This window comes from Homo sapiens, chromosome 4, assembly GCF_000001405.40.
Source record: "Homo sapiens chromosome 4, GRCh38.p14 Primary Assembly".
NCBI lineage: Eukaryota > Metazoa > Chordata > Mammalia > Primates > Hominidae > Homo > Homo sapiens.
This window is the reverse complement of record NC_000004.12, coordinates 161,065,294-161,085,098: the sequence shown is the minus strand read 5'-3', so window position 1 is coordinate 161,085,098 and position 19,805 is coordinate 161,065,294. Positions and strand designations below refer to the sequence as shown.

At 32.9% G+C, this 19,805-nt stretch overlaps 1 long non-coding RNA gene across 1 annotated transcript in view, besides 1 other annotated feature; it reads left to right on the top strand.

The window, feature by feature from the left end:
- The window catches only part of LOC105377514 (uncharacterized), a 58,262-nt gene extending 39,795 nt beyond the window's left edge, over window positions 1-18,467 (top strand). Inside the window, exon 3 of the long non-coding RNA XR_939408.1 lies at window positions 17,006-18,467. This is a non-coding gene — a long non-coding RNA (uncharacterized LOC105377514). The remainder of the gene's footprint in view (window positions 1-17,005) is intronic.
- Window positions 4,559-4,728: an enhancer, noted in NCBI's record as "experimental_75287 CRE fragment used in MPRA reporter constructs". NCBI's record gives its function as "activates a minimal promoter by MPRAs in K562 erythroleukemia cells, with activity observed for both the introgressed and non-introgressed 4:162001608 variant alleles {active_cell/tissue: K562}" and the evidence as "EXISTENCE:reporter gene assay evidence [ECO:0000049][PMID:34662402]".
- Window positions 18,468-19,805: the final 1,338 nt, after the last annotated feature.

Below are 19,805 nucleotides of genomic sequence, written 5' to 3'. Positions count from 1 at the left end.
TATATACCCAGTAATGGGATGGCTGGGTCAAATGGTATTTCTAGTTCTAGATCCCTGAGGAATCGCCACACTGACTTCCACAATGGTTGAACTAGTTTACAGTCCCACCAACAGTGTAAAAGTGTTCCTATTTCTCCACATCCTCTCCAGCACCTGTTGTTTCCTGACTTTTTAATGATTGCCATTCTAACTGGTGTGAGATGGTATCTCATTGTGGTTTTGATTTGCATTTCTCTGATAGCCAGTGATGGTGAGCATTTTTTCATGTGTTTTCTGGCTGCATAAATGTCTTCTTTTGAGAATTGTCTGTTCATGTCCTTCACCCACTTTTTGATGGGGTTGTTTGTTTTTTTCTTGTAAATTTGTTGGAGTTCATTGTAGATTCTGGATATTAGCCCCTTGTCAGATGAGTAGGTTGTGAAAATTTTCTCCCATTTTGTAGGTTGCCTGTTCACTCTGATGATAGTTTCTTTTGCTGTGCAGAAGCTCTTTAGTTTAATTAGATCCCATTTGTAAATTTTGGGTTTTGTTGCCGTTCCTTTTGGTGTTTTAGACATGAAGTCCTTGCCCATGCCTATGTCCTGAATGGTAAAGCCTAGGTTTTCTTCCAGGGTTTTTATGGTTTTAGGTCTAACGTTTAAGTCTTTAATCCATCTTGAATTGATTTTTGTATAAGGTGTAAGAAAGGGATCCAGTTTCAGCTTTCTACATATGGCTAGCCAGTTTTCCCAGCACCATTTATTAAATAAGGAATCCTTTCCCCATTGCTTGTTTTTCTCAGGTTTGTCAAAGATCAGATAGTTGTAGATACGCGGCGCTATTTCTGAGGGCTCTGTTCTGTTCCATTGATCTATATCTCTGTTTTGGTACCAGTACCATGCTGTTTTTGTTACTGTAGCCTTGTAGTATAGTTTGAAGTCAGGTAGTGTGATGCCTCCAGCTTTGTTCTTTTGGCTTAGGATTGACTTGGCGATGCGGGCTCTTTTTTGGTTCCATATGAACTTTAAAGCAGTTTTTTCCAATTCTGTGAAGAAAGTCATTGGTAGCTTGATGGGGATGGCATTGAATCTATAAATTACCTTGGGCAGTATGGCCATTTTCACGATATTGATTCTTCCTACCCATGAGCATGGAATGTTCTTCCATTTGTTTGTATCCTCGTTTATTTCCTTGAGCAGTGGTTTGTAGTTCTCCTTGAAGAGGTCCTTCATGTCCCTTATAAGTTGGATTCCTAGGTATTTTATTCTCTTTGAAGCAATTGTGAATGGGAGTTCACTCATGATTTGGCTCTCTGTTTGTCTGTTGTTGATGTATAAGAATGCTTGTGATTTTTGTACATTGATTTTGTATCCTGAGACTTTGCTGAAGTTCCTTATCAGCTTAAGGAGATTTTGGGCTGAGTCAGTGGGGTTTTCTAGATATACAATCATGTCGTCTGCAAACAGGGACAATTTGACTTCCTCTTTTCCTAATTGAATGCCCTTTATTTCCTTCTCCTGCCTAATTGCCCTGGCCAGAACTTCCAACACTATGTTGAATAGGAGTGGTGAGAGAGGGCATCCCTGTCTTGTGCAGTTTTCAAAGGGAATGCTTCCAGTTTTTGCCCATTCAGTATGATATTGGCTGTGGGTTTGTCATAGATAGCTGTTATTATTTTGAAATACGTCCCATCAATACCTAATTTATTGAGAGTTTTTAGCATGAAGGGTTGTTGAATTTTGTCAAAGGCCTTTTCTGCATCTATTGAGATAATCATGTGGTTTTTGTCTTTGGCTCTGTTTATATGCTGGATTACATTTATTGATTTGCGTATATTGAACCAGCCTTCCATCCCCGGGATGAAGCCCACTTGATCATGGTGGATAAGCTTTTTGATGTGCTGCTGAATTTGGTTTGCCAATATTTTATTGAGGATTTTTGCATCAATGTTCATCAAGGATATTGGTCTAAAATTCTCTTTTTTGATTGTGTCTCTGCCAGTCTTTGGTATCAGGATGATGCTGGCCTCATAAAATGAGTTAGGGAGGATTCCCTCTTTTTCTATTGATTGGAATAGTTTCAGAAGGAATGGTACCAGTTCCTCCTTGTACCTGTGGTAGAATTCGGCTGTGAATCCATCTGGTCCTGGACTCTTTTTGGTTGGTAAGGTATTGATTATTGCCACAATTTCAGCTCCTGTTATTGGTCTATTCAGAGATTCAACTTCTTCCTGGTTTAGTCTTGGGAGAGTGTATGTGTCGAGGAATTTATCCATTTCTTCTAGATTTTCTAGTTTATTTGCGTAGAGGTGTTTGTAGTATTCTCTGATGGTAGTTTGTATTTCTGTGGGATCGGTGGTGATATCCCCTTTATCATTTTTTATTGCGTCTATTTGATTCTTCTCTCTTTTTTTCTTTATTAGTCTTGCTAGCGGTTTATCAATTTTGTTGATCCTTTCAAAAAACCAGCTCCTGGATTCAATAATTTTTTGAAGGAGAAAACCCAATGTTTTAACAAATAAACTCTTGTTTTCAAACACAATATAATCAGCCACATCAGTTTTCTGTTGCTATGTAACATTACGGCAACACTCAATGGTTTAAAACAAACATTTGTTGAGCTCAGGAATCACTGAGTCAGTGTGGGCGTGTCAGCTCTAGGATGTCCTTGGCTATGTACCTACTGCAGTCAGCTGATGGATTGCTCAAAGATATGATGAGGGTTGTCTATGTGGAGCTTGTCTGGGCTATTTTGCAAGTCTTGTGCCTTGGATGACATAAACCAGCTGATTGACTCTGTTCCATTTGGTGGTTAGCTCAAAGAAATGTTGAGGGTTGTCTTTGTGGAGCTTGTATGGGTTCTTTTGCAAGCCTTGGGCCTTGGATGACATAAACCAGCTGATTGACTCTGCTCTATTTGGTTTCTCATCTCCAGGAAGCTAGTCTTTTCTTATTCATATGGAAGTTTCAGGAGTCCAAGTAAGGGAGCAGAGGCATGCAAGGCCTCTGAAGTCTGAAGTGAGGAGTTACATAACATCACTTCTGTGTCATTCTCTCTGGTCAAAGCAAATCACCAGATCAGCTCAGATTCCAGGAGTAAGGAAAGAGTCTCCACCTTTTAAAGAAAAGACTTGCAAATCACTCTGCAAAGAGTGTGGGCATAAGGAAGCATGGATCATTTTGGCCACTCTTCTAATCTACTATTAATGGTCGTACATTCTTACATATGTGTAAAGAAACTTTCCCCAGCAACTTGCTGCTCTGAGATTTTCCTTAAAGTATCAATGGCTTTTTGTCTATATCATTATAATATTGGAAGTAATTTATTACAAGAAGTTTCAAGTTGCTTGCATATAATTTTACTCCTCTGCTATCTCTGCAGCATGCTTAAAAACTTACACCCTTGGGCTTTGTCTCTTCTGGTTATTACTAACCTGCAATAAAGTGTATTCATTACTACCCTAATGCAGCAGTTAATTAAATTTCAGTGCTAGTCAACTTCAACCAAGGTCATCTGAAGTCAGCTTCTATTTTGACAGGAATCTATTAGCATCATGAAACACCAAGCAAGTTAATAGCTACATTTAAAGTTTGGTTATTTTCATTTTTTCTTTCCCTACATCTTAATAAATGGAAACACATATCAAACCTTACAGTTATGAATTAGAATGTCTTTCCTAGTAAATGACTTATTGATGCTGAAGTGATTAACCTTTCATTAAAACTTGATATAAAATTCTTCCCTCCATATATCTATGTTTATGACTCAAGCCCCAAAGGAAAATACATCAAACATAAGACAGCTTGGTTATTTAAAACACTTTTACATTACAGAGACTCATGAAGTCTGGAATTTTCTAATTTCTCCTCAAGTCTTTCTGCTTCCTGGTAAATTGTAATAGATTCCCCAAATGGACATATACATTTTGAAATGTATTCCACTGTCTGCTTTTAGAATAGATAAATGAAACTAACTAGCTACTATTCTATATTTCCTACATGACATCTAAATAGAGAGGTGTAAATAAATCTTCTCTTTTGGCAGAATGTTTTACCCTTTGAATTGATGCAGTGTCCAACTTTATATATCTCTTCACAACAACTCTGTTACCTAATTGAAACATATTGTATAAGGAACCCTGTTATTTTAGGACATAGTAGTCTGAATGTAAATGTAGTGTCACAATTTCTGTAACTGAGAGAAGTTATGTGTCTCTATCCAGAGGACTCTTTCAAAGCTTCTGTCCTATTTATTCCTTTAGGTCCACAGGGGTTGTGATCCTATGATCACGGCTAACACAGAAGCATCACCTTTTACCTTGTCCTCTGCTTTGACTCTGCTTCTCTTTGATAAAATTTACTTTTCCAGGCCTCTAAAGGCCAGCAAATCCCCTAGCTAATATTTCAGTGGGCTAAAGATGTTCAGAGTTGCCTTCACATCCTGCTATGCTGCTACTGCAGCTAGTGCCAGTTCAATGCTGGTGACACCTGACAATGTCTACTAAGGGAGTATTGACCAGCACCAAGCTGTACTGAATTTGCTTCACTAATATGGAGAGAATCCCTTCCCCTGTGCCATAAACAGTTACATATGTAAAAAATAAAATAAAAAAAAATTTAAAAAGCTGTCTAATTTGCTAGGCTTTAGAAAGTTTTCATGTGATATCAGTGTTTTTGTTTGTTTTCTTTTTTTTTCAAAATAACCAAAAAAATACTAAAAGAAAATCTCCACCTCTCCACTCTGGTCATCTTTGCCCTTCCCATTCCCAACCCCTGCTCCCCCCACAGCCAATATTCTTAATAGAAGTAAGGCTGGCCTGGCAACAATCTGAATTGTGGAACACTGTACTATACTTAGCATCTGATGACTGATGACTACTGTTAAATGGAGAAATTTTTCTTTCCTAGGTGATTTTGCCAGTCATAAAATCTAGAGTATTCAAGACAATCCAAATGAGCTTTGGGAATATATTAACTTTTTACTCAAGTTTTTTGACAATGAAAATTAGTTTAAACATGATAGCAGCTACTGAGGCTAGATTCCATTAGTACTTCGTAAGCTGCTTCCACATGTAGCAAGAGATTCCCTTTCACTTGCAAGGTAAAAAAAATGAGGCTTAAAGTACTATTTTTCATTGTTTTGAAAAGAACAGAAGCAGCAGAGTAGTTCAGCAAAGCACTGTTAGAACAAGTTATAATTTCCAGATATAGAATGCATTCAATAATACATAATACAAGTTGGGATCTGAACTTTTAGTATGAACTGAATGAAAAAAGACAGTTATTTCATTATTAATATGTGAGAGCAAATGATAAACCTGTCAATATGCCAGGTAATGGGACCACATCAAGGAGCAAAACAGACACGATGCCTGCCTGCCCTTTGTACATGTACATATTAATAATAAAGGCAGACATTAATGAAATATCATGAGTAAGCTTATTATAAATGGAAAGAGCATGCCTTACAGAGGTGGGTAAATAGAGATTAGATGTAATCAGTAACATTGGGGAAGGTATAGTGGAAATATACTGATGTGTTTATCAAGCATTACCTTTTCCTTTCTGCAGACCTGTCTTACCTGTAGCTCAGGTAATGATCAAATGCATGGACATATCACCTGAAGTGGGCTACTTGGAAATTCATTGAACAATTTCTTGTAAGATTAGAGGCAATCAACATGCTTTTCTCTTTTATATTGAATCTCTCTCTTTTTTTTTTTTGAATTTCACTTTTAGTTCTGGGATACATGTGCAGAATGTGCGGTTTGTTACATAAGTATACATGTGCCGTGGTGGTTTGCTCTCTTAAGTGTAGGGACCCAGAAAATCTGTGTTGAGGGCTCTTGAAACATAAATTTAACACGTCCTAATGGGAATAAAATGGACATTAAGTGACAAATCAGGACAGAAGGCCACCATAATGTGTCATGCTGGCCCTGAGCTTCTCTTTCAAATTATGAGCCAATAGTTTCATGAGTCAATACCTCCCATTATTAGAGTTCAAATTGGCCATCTGTCACCAGCAAACAGAAAAGTCCAACTTCATACACAAATTCATAATTGTAAACATTACAAGTAACATCATAATATGTGAGAATGGTTGTGAAAAATGCATGATTATAAATGTTCCTCCAGTGATACCATGAGATGCCATTGATGTTTGCTTTGTTATAATGAAGGATCTGTTTAAAATTTCTCTCTCAAAATAAGATATCTTGGCCTCAATTCATCTACTTACTGATGAAGGTATTTGAGGGTGATTAATAGAAATATATCTGAAAATGATTTTGTTAGCCAATTCTTTAAATTTTAGCTGATAAAATCACTCCCTGACATAAGGTAAAATGAAATAAGCAAGAATGAACCCAAGAAAACTGATATGGAATAATGATTTGGAAGATCAGGAAACATTTTTCTAGTGGTAGAAAACAGGTTCTGATGAATATGTCAGACAATTGCCTTCTTCTCAGTCTCCCAAGTCAGTATATTTAGAAGAAATTATCACTGTCTGCCACACACCCATCTACTCCTTCCATTAAGTCACTTATCTTCAGGAAAGAAGGATTATGTCCCTCTTTGATGAAATGTAAAAAGAGGAAGACTGCAAAACTAATAATTTAGTTACTCTCTCTTAGATTTCTATTTTTGAATCTACTAGATGCCACCAACATTGAATCTACTATGTGTGACAGGCTTCAGTCTTCCTTCACCTGATGAACCTAAACTTTATCATTATAGTGATATAGAGATGATTATAGAAGACTTCCAAGCAATTGAGTTTCAATTTCTGGTTAATGTAATAAAAAGTATTGATTAATGTATATAGAACCCTCCAGACCCCAAGACTGTTTTAAGAGTTTTCTTTACAATATCTTATTTAATACTCACAGAAAACCTATATGCTAAGTACTCATAATTTCCATGTTTCACATGAGCAAACCAGCGTCAAGCAGAGTAATGAGTTGAACAGACAGAACCGATCTGTGGCAGGGCCAGAATTCATGTCCAAGAAGGCTGACTCAATAGTCCATACATATAACCATTACCTTAAATCACAACGCAAAATACAAATCTATGTTATAGGATTTAAAATTCCCATTTAATTATCCCTCCGCTTTCCTAGTTCTGAAACTTTGCATAAGCGAATGTAGGAATTAGCTGGAAACCAAAATGTCAATTTTGTTTTTGGGAAATATGCATTGATGTATTTCAACTTGATGCAACATATGATCTCCTGTTTTTACTTGAATTGAGCCTATCTAGCAAATGGTTTGCTAAGCTGAATGCTTTCCTGCATAGAGAAAGGGCTTAGCAAACCATTTGCTTACATTGCCATTGTTATTACCATTATTATTATTATTTACTTTTAGAAGATTTGTTTGATATTTTCTTTATCCTCATTATTGTGCATATCAAGAAGATATTAATTATGCTTCTCTTTCACTGAATATTTTGGCTTTCTGGGAATTTTTAATCTAAAGACTGGTACTCTTTTCTACCATTATTATTATTATTACTATTATTATTTTGGATAATTTCAGACATCTATTTTCTGAAGTCTAACATCCTAGGACTCGTAGATATTTCACATTGTCAATCTATATGTCTATTATTTTTTCTGTCATATTTTAAATTTTTTTCCTTTGGCTATATGCTCTGCGGTAAAGCCAAAGAAATAAGTAATGATTTTAATGTAATAAATATATTATAAGAACAATATAATACATTTCTTCTATTAATGTTCTTCATTGTTATTATTATTTTAATTTAAACAAGCATGTTTTTAGTCTTTGAGTATTTAGGAATCTTCTTGGCTCTAGAAGCTTGACATTTAGGCTAACTAAAACTGAAATTAGTGACAAGAATGTGAGGCTTTCATAACAAAATCCAAAAATAAGTGATACTGGTTTAATTACCAAATGAGAAACAAAGAAAAAAATAACAAAAATCAGGAATTATCATATCCTCTTTTAGGCATGCATGACAAAGGTTAGTGGTGTTTTGACTTTTCCTTCCTGGTGTCTTTACAGGTATTCTTTTGAGAATTTGGGACCTATTTTCATTGGAAATGTAAACCATGAGAATAAGATCCCAAAAGATTTACTAGGCTTTTTCATTATTTCTGAGTGATAGCCACTACATTTTGCGCTAAATGGTAACATGTTTTTAAGATATTCTATGATGACTATAGTGCTTTTGAAGTGCTGGACTAAACTAAAAAGGCATCAAGATTTTAAAGGCACATAAAAAGATATAGAAAGAGCTAATAAGACAGCCATTAACTTGGACTCTTCACTGAATGATGTACCGTACACTGTACCAAACGTTGTAAGAAATACGTTTTACACATTTTGTTATTGTGTGGGCATATGTTTGTTTTGATTTGTTTAAACACTTTTGTAAGATCTCAGAGCCCATTTAATAAACAAAGGTAGAAATAACAAATAGATTAATTAAATATTTACATAATTTTAATTCCCACTCAGTACTTGCTGCATTGAAGGCAAAGTACAAATAATTATTTTCTAGTTATAAACATCAACTGAATATTTGGAGCCTCAGATAAAATATACATTAAATAAAGGAAATTTATTAATAAAAAGTTTTTTTTCTTAAGTTACACAAAAGTGTTTTAATCTTAAACATTGAAAAGAGTATTTCCACTTACATCAGCAGAATTGAGCTTTACTTCCAGGGCAAAATTACCCAACAATATAATGAAAGTTCTCAGCTTTTTACATATCCAAAATCATTCCATTGCAAATCTATAACAAGTATATACATGTAAAATTTTTCTAAACATCAACAAATTACCTTTATATTGAAAGTACTAATACCACTTTTCTGTAGGTATACTTAAGAATATATCAAAATATTGTGTTTTAAAAGTCTTCAGTTATATGTAGATTTTTAATCTTGTCAAGCGTAATTTAATTTTGAAATTACTTGCATGTTTTAGTGTTTAGCGATATGTAAGTAGGTAAACAACTGTAATGATTTGTCATTTTCCAACACCATTACTTATTTTTTGGAAAAAAAATAATTAAATTGCATAATAAAATATTTATAATTTAAATTCATCAAACATCACTTAGTATATATGATACAACATGCTTTGAAATAGTGTCTTATATTTTTTAAAGTTTTAAAAAGCCATCAAGATACAACATTGAGATGCTTTAAAATTGCTTTTCACAAATGTAATAAGGGGATTTGTGTGTACAAGTATGTGGCTAGGGTGTTTAGAGAGAGTTAAAAAGGATAAATTTAATTTTTATTTTTTTAATCACTAATCTAATATATGGTCAACTTCAGAAGCTTGTGAAATAAATTCACCTTCCTTTCTCTTTCTAGGAAACATATTTTTCTCTGCCTTCTCTCTTTCCTTTCTTCTTTTTGGAAGACTATTTTAAATTTTGTACTACATTCTCTTTTATATATTTTTCTGCCAAATGCTATTAGTAAAGCTTAGCTAAGTTCCCATTTTTTCTATGATGATGTCACTATTTCTTCACACTAGAATTCATAATTTTTAGTTTGCAATGTCTCTGCATGTGTGGCCAGCTCCATTTTTTAAAATTGATTATTTTCTAATTATTTTTATTTCTACATTTGTCTTTCACTCTATGGAGGAAAGGAATAGAAAATGTGTTGCTGTATCGATCACATATTAATTACTTAATAAATGTCCATTTATTTGTATTCTAATGAACATATTAATAGCAGCGGTAGAGATTATTTACTGTCACAAAAATGGACTTTGGATACATGTTTAGAAAAATGAGTTAATAAATTATCAATTTTGTAATTTTTATTGCCTATATGTGGCAAAGGCCTTATTATATGTAGCAATGAGGGAAGAGATGGAGCCTTTTCTGGCTATTTCATGGTTAGAAGTTTGCTTGGAGAATGTGCTTTCCTATTTTTTAGAATTACTGGGAATCAATATTATCACTTCATACAATTCAGATATTGAGCAAAGTGGGCTCCAAATTACATAAGAGAAAGTAAAGTATGTAACTTCTTTATAACTAAATAATAGGCATAAATGGGTGTTTCTATCATGTGTTTCTCTATGTGCTTCATGTGTATTTATTGATTATTCCAGGCTGTTACCTTTTTCTTTTCCTTCTCACTATCAATATTATTCTTGGTCAGTAGGTGTCTTTGAAAAGATGCTTATAATAAAACATCCCTTCTTCTGAAACAGAAAAACAAAATTAGTTTTTCTGTTGGCCACATATTTACCAAGGGCAAAACTGTATACAAAGAATTGCCTAATGTAGTTTCAGTTTGAATCTTCTTTCTGAAAGAAAATAAATATTTTAAGTTAATAAGGGAAGAAGAGCATTAACCACTAAAGTGGTTGCTGCTGTTGTCCAATTTTATTACTCTTTTACTCATTTGGTGCTAAGCTTTAAAACTCAATTGTTTTAAATGATTGTCAGTTCGTCATATTTTCACTCTATTTTTCTTTAATACTTTGTTTTAAAAACTAAACCTATAGCAAAGTTTAAAAGGTTTTACTCTGGTCACTGTCATATTTAGCACCTAGAATAAACCTTTGCATTTTACTATACTTGTTTCTTCACGTATCTATTCATCTACCCAAACTTCTATCAATGAATACAGTTTGTGTTGTATTTCAAAGAAAATTGCTGATAGCAGTTCAATTCCACCTTAAGTTCAGCATATATATTTAAAAATATAGTTCAATATTTATTTATAGGTATTTAAACAAACTTTACATTACATGAAATACACAAATCTTTCTTTTACATTATTTTATTTTTGTCAGGTGCATATACTTTAATCCAGATCTTCATCATTGTATAAAATATGAACAAATGTTCACATCAGTCTTTAACTTTTAACCCATTTCATTCCAGAGACAACCATTATCATTATTTTTCCCACTGAAAATTAGGTTTACCTGTTCTAAAATTTAATATATTAATACACGTAATTATACATAAGGTATTCATTTGGTTAAGGTGTCTTTCACTCACCATAATATCTTTCAGATTTACCTATATTATTGTTATACTAGTAGTTTCTTCCTTTTTAATTCATTGAAATGAGTAGTATCTCATTGTAAGACTATACCACAATTTGTTGATCAATTCCTGTTGATAGACACTTAGGTAGTTCCCAGTTTTGTGGATTATGAATAAAGATGTCATGAACACTCTTATAGAAGTTTTGTGTGAGCAAGTATTTTTGTTTCTGGTAAGGAAATACCTTCAAGTGCAATTGTGTATGATAGGGTAAGTGTATTTTTCATAAGAAGCATCTAGAGCTTTTTCCAATGAGATTTTACCATTTTACATTACCACTACCAATGCCTGAGAGGTCTTCTTGCTCCAAGATATCACCAAGTCAGTCTTCTAATTATAGTTCTTCTGGTGGATATATGATATGATTGTACCCTATTTTAAACATATGTTTAAGAATCTTTGTGAATTTGGATTTAAATTCATAACATAAATATGTTATTTGGATTTAAATACATAACATAAATATGTTATTATATTTTCATCTAAATATGGAACACCTTTTAAACTAATATATCTGCTGTATTTTTATTAATTTCTCTAGAAGTTAGCATTCTACAAATTTTTAATCACTCATATTGTTATTTCTTAAGTAAATATTTGCGTCTTTTGCTCATATATTTACCACTTACCTTCTTATTTTTGCAGCATCTTAAAACTTTTGTCAGAAATTACTTTTTTTTTTACATTAGACTTCTAGAATCATTTCAATTTTTCTTTAGTGGGATTAATTTTTTCTCTCTCTTTTTCTCTCTGATAATCCATAAAGATAAAAGGTCATGCAATCACGACATAAAAATATTATATGTGAAATAGAAAAATCACAACAATAGTTGGAGATTGTAACATTTCTGTCTTGACAATTGGTAGAACAAGTAGTCAAAAAGAGTAAGTCTATAGATCTTAATACTAACAACCAACTTTACTTATTGACTTTTGTAAACCATTACATCCAACACCTTAAAAAACACACATTCTTTTTAGTGCACACTGCTATTTGTGAATATAAACAATATATTGAACCATACTGGACCACACATGAGTTACATATTTCTAATTAACTTTTGGGTAAGCAGATGTCACAAATGGCTTATAAGGTTTATCGAAACAAACAGAATACATAAAGAACATAATAAAATTCACGAGTTGCATCTAAATTATCCTTTAAAGAGGGATTTATAGCCTTATGTTCTTGTATCAGAGAAAAACCTGAAAACCAGAGATTTTTATTTCATCTTGTAAAGGTAGAAACAAAAAGGCAAATTAAACCAAAGTAAGTATAAGTAACTAAAAAATTGAATATAAAAACAGAAATCATGGATAGTAGAGAGACAAAGAGAACAAATCTGATACTTTAGAAAGGTTTGTTAACATGATGACCCTTAAATATGACTAATAGAGAACAAGAGAGAGAACAGAAAACACTAATATCAAGGATTAAAGATGGAATATCACCAAATATTCTCCAGACAATGAAAGAATACATTTATCCCAATTTTTGAATAACTGTATGCTAATTACTTCAACAACTAGATGAAATGGATAAATTTCTCAGTAAAACACAACTTACTCATACACAAATATAAGTAGACATTCTAAGTAGTCACATGTATATTTAATAAATTAAATTTGTATTACAAAATATCTCCACACAAAAAAATAACCCAAGACCAAGATATTTCACTACTGAATTCCGCCAAATGTTTAAGAAATTAACACTTTTAATCTCACACAATCACCATTAGGATACTGGAACATTTTCCAAATAATTTCATGAACCTAGTACAAAACTCATACGAACACCTGACAGAAACTGCAAGAAAAAATTTCCAGAGAACCATCCCTTGTGAATTTAGATGTAAAAGTCCTATGAAATTATTAATGCAAAGAATTTGGCAACATATTTCTGACAGAAGACAAATTAATTTGTATCCCAGAAATGGAAGATTGGTTACATCCATTTAATATACCACATTAAAACAACATATAACACGATTCATATGATAATCTCAACAATGAAGAAAAATCTGTTGGACCAAATTCAACACACTCTCATAGCCAACAACTTCAGAAAATTTGAGAAATATGAGCACTACCCCAAGTCGATATACAGCTGTCACATAAAACCTCAGCTAATAATATACTTAATGATGAAATATTGAACAAGACAAAGATGCCCTTTCACACTACTTCTGTTCAATACTGTATTGGGATGGTGGAGGAAAAAAGAAAAAAAATGCTGTTTTGGAACAAAAAAATTGCAATAGTAAATATTAAAATAAAAATAATATTGATTGGAAAGAAACCTTTCTATAAGTGAAATCAATATGGGTGTGATATGAAAATTGAAATTGAAATCTAATATAGCACAAAATTTATGGCATTTTATTTATCATAATTATACAATCATATTCAAACTTTATCTTTTTTTTTTACCTGAACAAAATTTAGTTGAAAATAAATTGAATATTTATTGGTTACTATAACTGTAAAATTAAGTTTAGTCAGGGCATATTTAATCCTCTCATTCCATATCATATAAGAGCCTGTTTATAATACCATTATTCATATTGCATAACCAAAAAGAACATAAAAGTTCTAGGGCAAAATTAAATATAATGCACAATGGGAAATAAGTATAAAAACAGAAAATTCAATTAATACAGTTTATGCTTATAAACTTTCAGAGGATGTATCTTTACCTTTCATATCCTTTGTGTATTTTTAGCTTGAAGAGTTAAATCATAAGAATGAGCTAAAGCTTTCATAATATTTGAAGTTTGTGAAAAGAGACAGCGAAAAATATATAATGCCCATCATAATGACAACATCGATTACAGGAAACAATGTAAAGATATAAATAATTTATCTTTGCTATATTCAAGTTGAGTCAATGTCAGAATGCCTAATTTGGGAATCTTACAAATAATGATTTAAGAATAATTTGAATAATAAAATAATGTATTAAATAGAGATAACTCTAGTCCTATACTTCATGGGATTTAGAAGATAGCTACTACAGTGAACTCACAATTGATAAGATGTTATGGGCAAAATAATTGTTAATTTTCTTGAAATCATGATTTAGATGTTGTGTATGTATAGTCACCAAAGTAAGATTTAAATGTGACACAATGAATAAATGATATGTGCAGAATGTTTTATGCTTTTTTCATTAGTAACAACAGAGACTTTTCAGGTACCTAGCTCCCAAGAGTTTATTGAAAATGCTTCTAAATTCATTTTGTTCTTTAACGTCTGTAAATTAGAAAGAAACATTTTACTCTTGTCAATCTTCACTTGAAATATCCTCTTTTTTAAAAAACCTTAAGCATAGAGATTGCAAATCGCATTTGAAAATATCTGCAGTTGCCAAAAAGATAAAGAGAAATAATTCTGTATAATTAAATGTTGTGTTGTACTTGCGGAAGGTTGAAGGATACTATGCTGTAAACTTGCATGGATCTGAAATTGAATATGAGTGGTATTGTTAAAAATATGACATATGGTTGATACCTAATTACTTAATTCCTAGTTGCCTCTTTTCATTAAGGCACAGGGTGTATATTTGGGTGGGTTTTCCAAAGCAAGCTTATATTGATATGAAATTTGAAAGTGACCAAAGAATTACAGAGGTTAATGTTAGAGAAATATGCCTGTGGATCAAAAGTAGACAGTAGTATGTAGGAACTGAAACTATGGGATTAATTGTATCCAGATCTAGAAGCAAAACAAACAGGGAGGGTTCTGATTCCAATATAGTAATTGATATTAAAAGGTCCCCATACGTCTTAAGCAACTGAAGTGAGGTTCAATGCATGAATCTCTTGTATAAAATAGTAGTTGCTTATTGATAAATTAAAGCCCCTCAATGTTAAAAAGCTGCATATGTTCAGTAGCACACACAAAAGAAGAAATAGGCAACAGAGAGAAAATGTGGGCAGAGCCTCCTAAGTAGCCACTGATTGGACATGCAATATGCAGTATGCTACCAAGAAAACAAGCTCACATTAGCAAAATCAGGCAGGGAAAGAAAAGATAAAACTTGGTAGGCATGGATATTAAGTCCAGAGAGAAAGAGAAATAAATTCCTGTATTAATGAACCTGAAAACTGAAGTTTAAAATGCAGGAGGACAATAGTACTAATAGTGTCAAAAACATTCAACAATCAGGAGATAAATTCTCTTTTAATTAATGTAAGTTACAGAGCCATCTCCATATAAGAATCAGATAGAAACAGTGAGCATTTCTTTGGTAATAAGATAATTTATTTTTAAATAATTTCTTGCAAGAATATAAAAGTGCCCATTGCAGGGCACTTGGGAGTAAATAGAGGAAGAGGGATGAGTAGAAGCAAGATTTCACACAACTTTCTGAATGCTTCCAGTATTTTAACATTACATTAACCTAATGTTAAAAATAAATTGATTAGTAGGTCCAGAAAATAATATTCACAGTAGGAATTGAAAGTTTTCCTTAGTATAAGAGTTGAAATATTAAAGAATAGGATAAATATGTATATAATGACAAATAAAACACATTCATAACTGTGAATGTGTTTTATTCAATGATAAATTGCTCATCAATATGGAACTGGGGAAAATTGGAGGTTCAGAGATTTGATAGTGTATTCTCAAGAGAACAATTACAAGGCATTTCAAAAGAAGAAAAGGGGAAATCTCAGGTAGAAAAGTGAAATTATTCTCTGAGACACTTACTTGCTAAAGAAACTCTTTCGTGTGTTTTTATCTTATAAAGGTGTTAATATTTTCCCTGACAACTGCCTTGTCCCTCTCTTTTCTGATTAGGAGAACATCACTTATAGGTTCCTGAAAATCATGTCAGATTTCCTGGGAAAAGACTAGTATTATTCTCAATGTAGAATGCTTGATATGGTATTAGAAGAAAAACAAATCCAAACATTTAGGTAGGAGACCAATAGGTTATATACGTATGCTGAGGGACATCTATTACTTAGAAGCATGAGGTATGTCTCAGGGAAGACAAATCTTTCTTTGGGGAAGGAAGGTAGAACAATAAATGTATTCCATGGAGGGGAGAGATATAAAATGGATAAATGATACCTCTTGGGTAGAATTATACAACTTAGGAGGAGAGGATAGAAAAGATTTGTTTGAAAAATGAATGTTTCTATCAACGTGAGAATTTGTAGAATTCATAGGTTTCACTGTGAGGGATTCTCAATGAAAAATATGGAGAAAAATTTTAGCAAAACAAATGTCTATGCCTAAAGGCAGGAGAGACAAATAAAAGGACAAAGATTTCGGGCCATAGCAAAGGAACGCTCTTAGGAAACAGTTAACATTTTAATAACTTTAAAAGTCTTCCTTACAGATATAGTTGAAAAATAAATGGGAAGTGGAACATAAGTGAAATATGTCACTGCTGAATAAAAATAAAAGACAGAAATGAATGCCTCTGATATTGTTGAAGTAGCACAAATTGCTCACTTATGGTAAGTTTTAAAGATGAAGTAAAGCAAGGTCTTAAGAACAGACCTTGGCAAAGCAGCTGTACTCTGGGGCACAGGCACTGAGAAAAGTTAAGAACCCTTTCTATTTAAAATCACTTAAGGCAGATATGAGCACAAAGGGATAAAATGTTTTTCCTGAAGGAAGACTCATTAGTTAAAAAAAATGCAAAGCATGATTCTCAATGGTACAATGGTAAAAATTGTCTAGGGAACCCTATGGATAGAGACATTCAGAGACAATGCAAAGTCAAGACAGAGAAGAATGTACAAACCCTCTTTAGAAAGTTTTCTGCATAAAGTTGGGGTGCATTGTTCACAGAGAAGTGGAGGCTATGCCTGATAGAGTGCACCACCTCTGTTTAGTTATAGCTTGCTAGGAACATGAGATAAGTACAAATTAAGTATATTATGCAGTTTACAATTCACATTGACAACCTGACAGTCACTTCCCCTCTCTTTCTCTCTTTCTAAACAGAACTGTGATTTCATTTGTCCATCTCCTGATGAAGATGAGTTTCAAGAGGAGACTCACTATTCTAAGCTAACCATTTTAAGTCCATTCTCATTTTGTGACAATAATTTAGGAGCACCATAAATATAAACCACCTGTAGCCAATGAGACATAAGCAAGATCATCCGAAATGAACTTCTGGAAAATTTTCCTCAATCTCAGAAGGAGATTTATTCCCTCCCCCTCACCAGAATTTCCAAGGGTTTATACCTTAATGAAACTGTCACAAGTCCCCAAGGGGAGCCAACTTCTACTTCTAATGGGGAGGAATGCTTGCATCTATAGGTTCCATTAGGTGCCTGCTGTGTGTCAAATATTTTCCTATGCATTTCACATGCATTTTTAGCACTTAACCTCCATATCCTCAGGACTATCTCTAGAAACATAGATGCTTAAGAAAATTATCTTTTACACAGAGCTTGCTAAACAGAGGGTGGAAATCAGACAGCTTGAACTTAAGAATAGAGTAAAAATGGATATTAAGATACTTGAAATATTGATTAGGAATATGTATTGTGTCAAATTCTGGGGTAAAAGAGAAATATAAGTTGAAATTTTCAACTTTTTTTCTATTTTTAAAACTGGAATTAATAATCTGGGGTAGTAAGTTTCTTTGTTGCTGTTAAAAAATAAAAAGAAACTATAAGAGCACCTTTCAGTTGTACTCACATGAAGCAAAGATTCTCTGTAGTCCAGAGAATTTTTGGAATAGCTTCGAGAAGCTGCACAAATCAAAACTGCTTTGAGGTCTTCGCTACTTACATAAAGGAGAGACACATTTACCTTTAATAGAAATGGGCTTTGTGGAGAGGAAAAGGATGGAGAGAAAATTGTCAGTTGAGCATTATTCACCCCTCTTGAACTCCCAGACTGATTTTGAGCCTCTATTTTCATTTTGATGTCTGCAGTCAAAATCCAGGGAATTTTCCAAAATCCCTAATAAAATATCGAATATTTGACATCATTCCTTCCCCAAGGGTAAGAAATATTTTCAATATTTGACATTGTGCGGTTAAACATATTGCTGCCTTACGTAGAAAAGTGGGTTGAATACTTCTCTCATTGTTTTAGAATTATTTTCCCTTCTTCCATTTGCTATATTTGATCTCTATAATTCTGGTATGTGTTTGGCCATAGACTAGTGATCATATCACCCAGGTCTTTTGTAACATTCATTCCTTCAGAACTTAACAATGGGAAATAACACAGGTGTCAATTGGACAGAGAGATTTGAGGGAAACTCTCAAATTAGAGTGAAAGTTTCAATCTGTCTACTGCGAAGAAGCCTCATTCTTTCTGCTCCTGTATCATAACACAGAGGCCTATGTGAAGTACATAGACTAAAATTAGTTCAATCTAAAGGGATTTATTTTTACCAATAAAATTGTGTTTCTTCAAAATGCATAACATTGATACAGATTTGAGATGCTGCCAGGTCCACTTCTCATTAGTTTTTTTTTTGTTACTTGCAATGATAGAATCCCCTTATGTATTGGCAGAGTGTTGTGCCAAGGCATCTTTCTAGTTTACTTCAGGAACCTCAAGGAGTAACAAACGGTGAAGAAAAAATATTGATATTAGGAGAATAAAGACCAGAAACTTTCTCCTTGTTGTTGTTGATGATGTTATTTGTTTGTTTTCTACTACAGACATTAACTAAAACACTGCTCAGAGTGAAATTCCAAAGCTGAAAGAACATTTAATGAGAGAATTTTAATATGTACACTGTGGCTTGGGTGGAAAAATAACGAAAATGAGTAGCAAAATGTTTTCTCTGGATATGAAAAGAATAGAGAACTATTCTGACATTCAGGATTGAGATATCTGGGAGCAGCACTTTTGCTGTAGACCAGAGGTTCCCAAACTTTTGCAGCTAACAGAGTCCTTACTCTGGCCTGATCACTACCAGCTAGTGATGTCATTGCCATCATAATATCATAGTGCAAGGCATTACTCACATGTCTGTGGTGAAATAAACCTACTGTACTTCCAATAAATGTACAGCACATACACTTATGTACAGTAAAAAATGGTTCTTCTCCATAAAATAAATACTAATCAATTTTATTTATTAAGTAGTTAACCTAAACAGTACAGCCATTTTAAAACAATACATATAAATTGTAAGAAAATATTTTATTTCATTATTAAAAAACCACAATGTCTTATAAAATGGATATATTTACCTTTTGCACACTTTATAGCTTCTCAAATTTTGGAATTAGATTGGACACCAGTATCCCTAAAATCTGTTTTGTGGTAGCTTTCCCTCAGTACTTGATTTTTATTATAGCAATTTCTGAAAACACAGATTTGCAAAGACATGATGCCATTGAAAGGAATTCAATGTGCATTAATACTGAACTGTGAAGTATCGTGTGATGTATGATGTTTAGTAACTCTGTTGAGTGTTGCTGTGTTTTTCTTGAAAATTATGAAATGCAATGCATTATTCCATGGGAATTGGGTGAATTCACTGTTGCAACCTGAGCACCTCAGCACACATTTTGGGAACTTCAAGCATAGGCATTGCTATTAACTCTCTGGATATAAACCAACACAGCTAACTCCTCCTCCAGAAATGTTAAACTGTCATGAATACCAATGCCTTGCCAACAAAGATATAATATATGTATATAAATATAAAATTGAAACAATTATACTTTTAATTTTAAATTAATTATAATGAATCTGGTGACTTAGCATGTGGTTATTAGTTTTAACCTTATAAGAATAAATCACATTAGTAATTAAACTTCTAAAA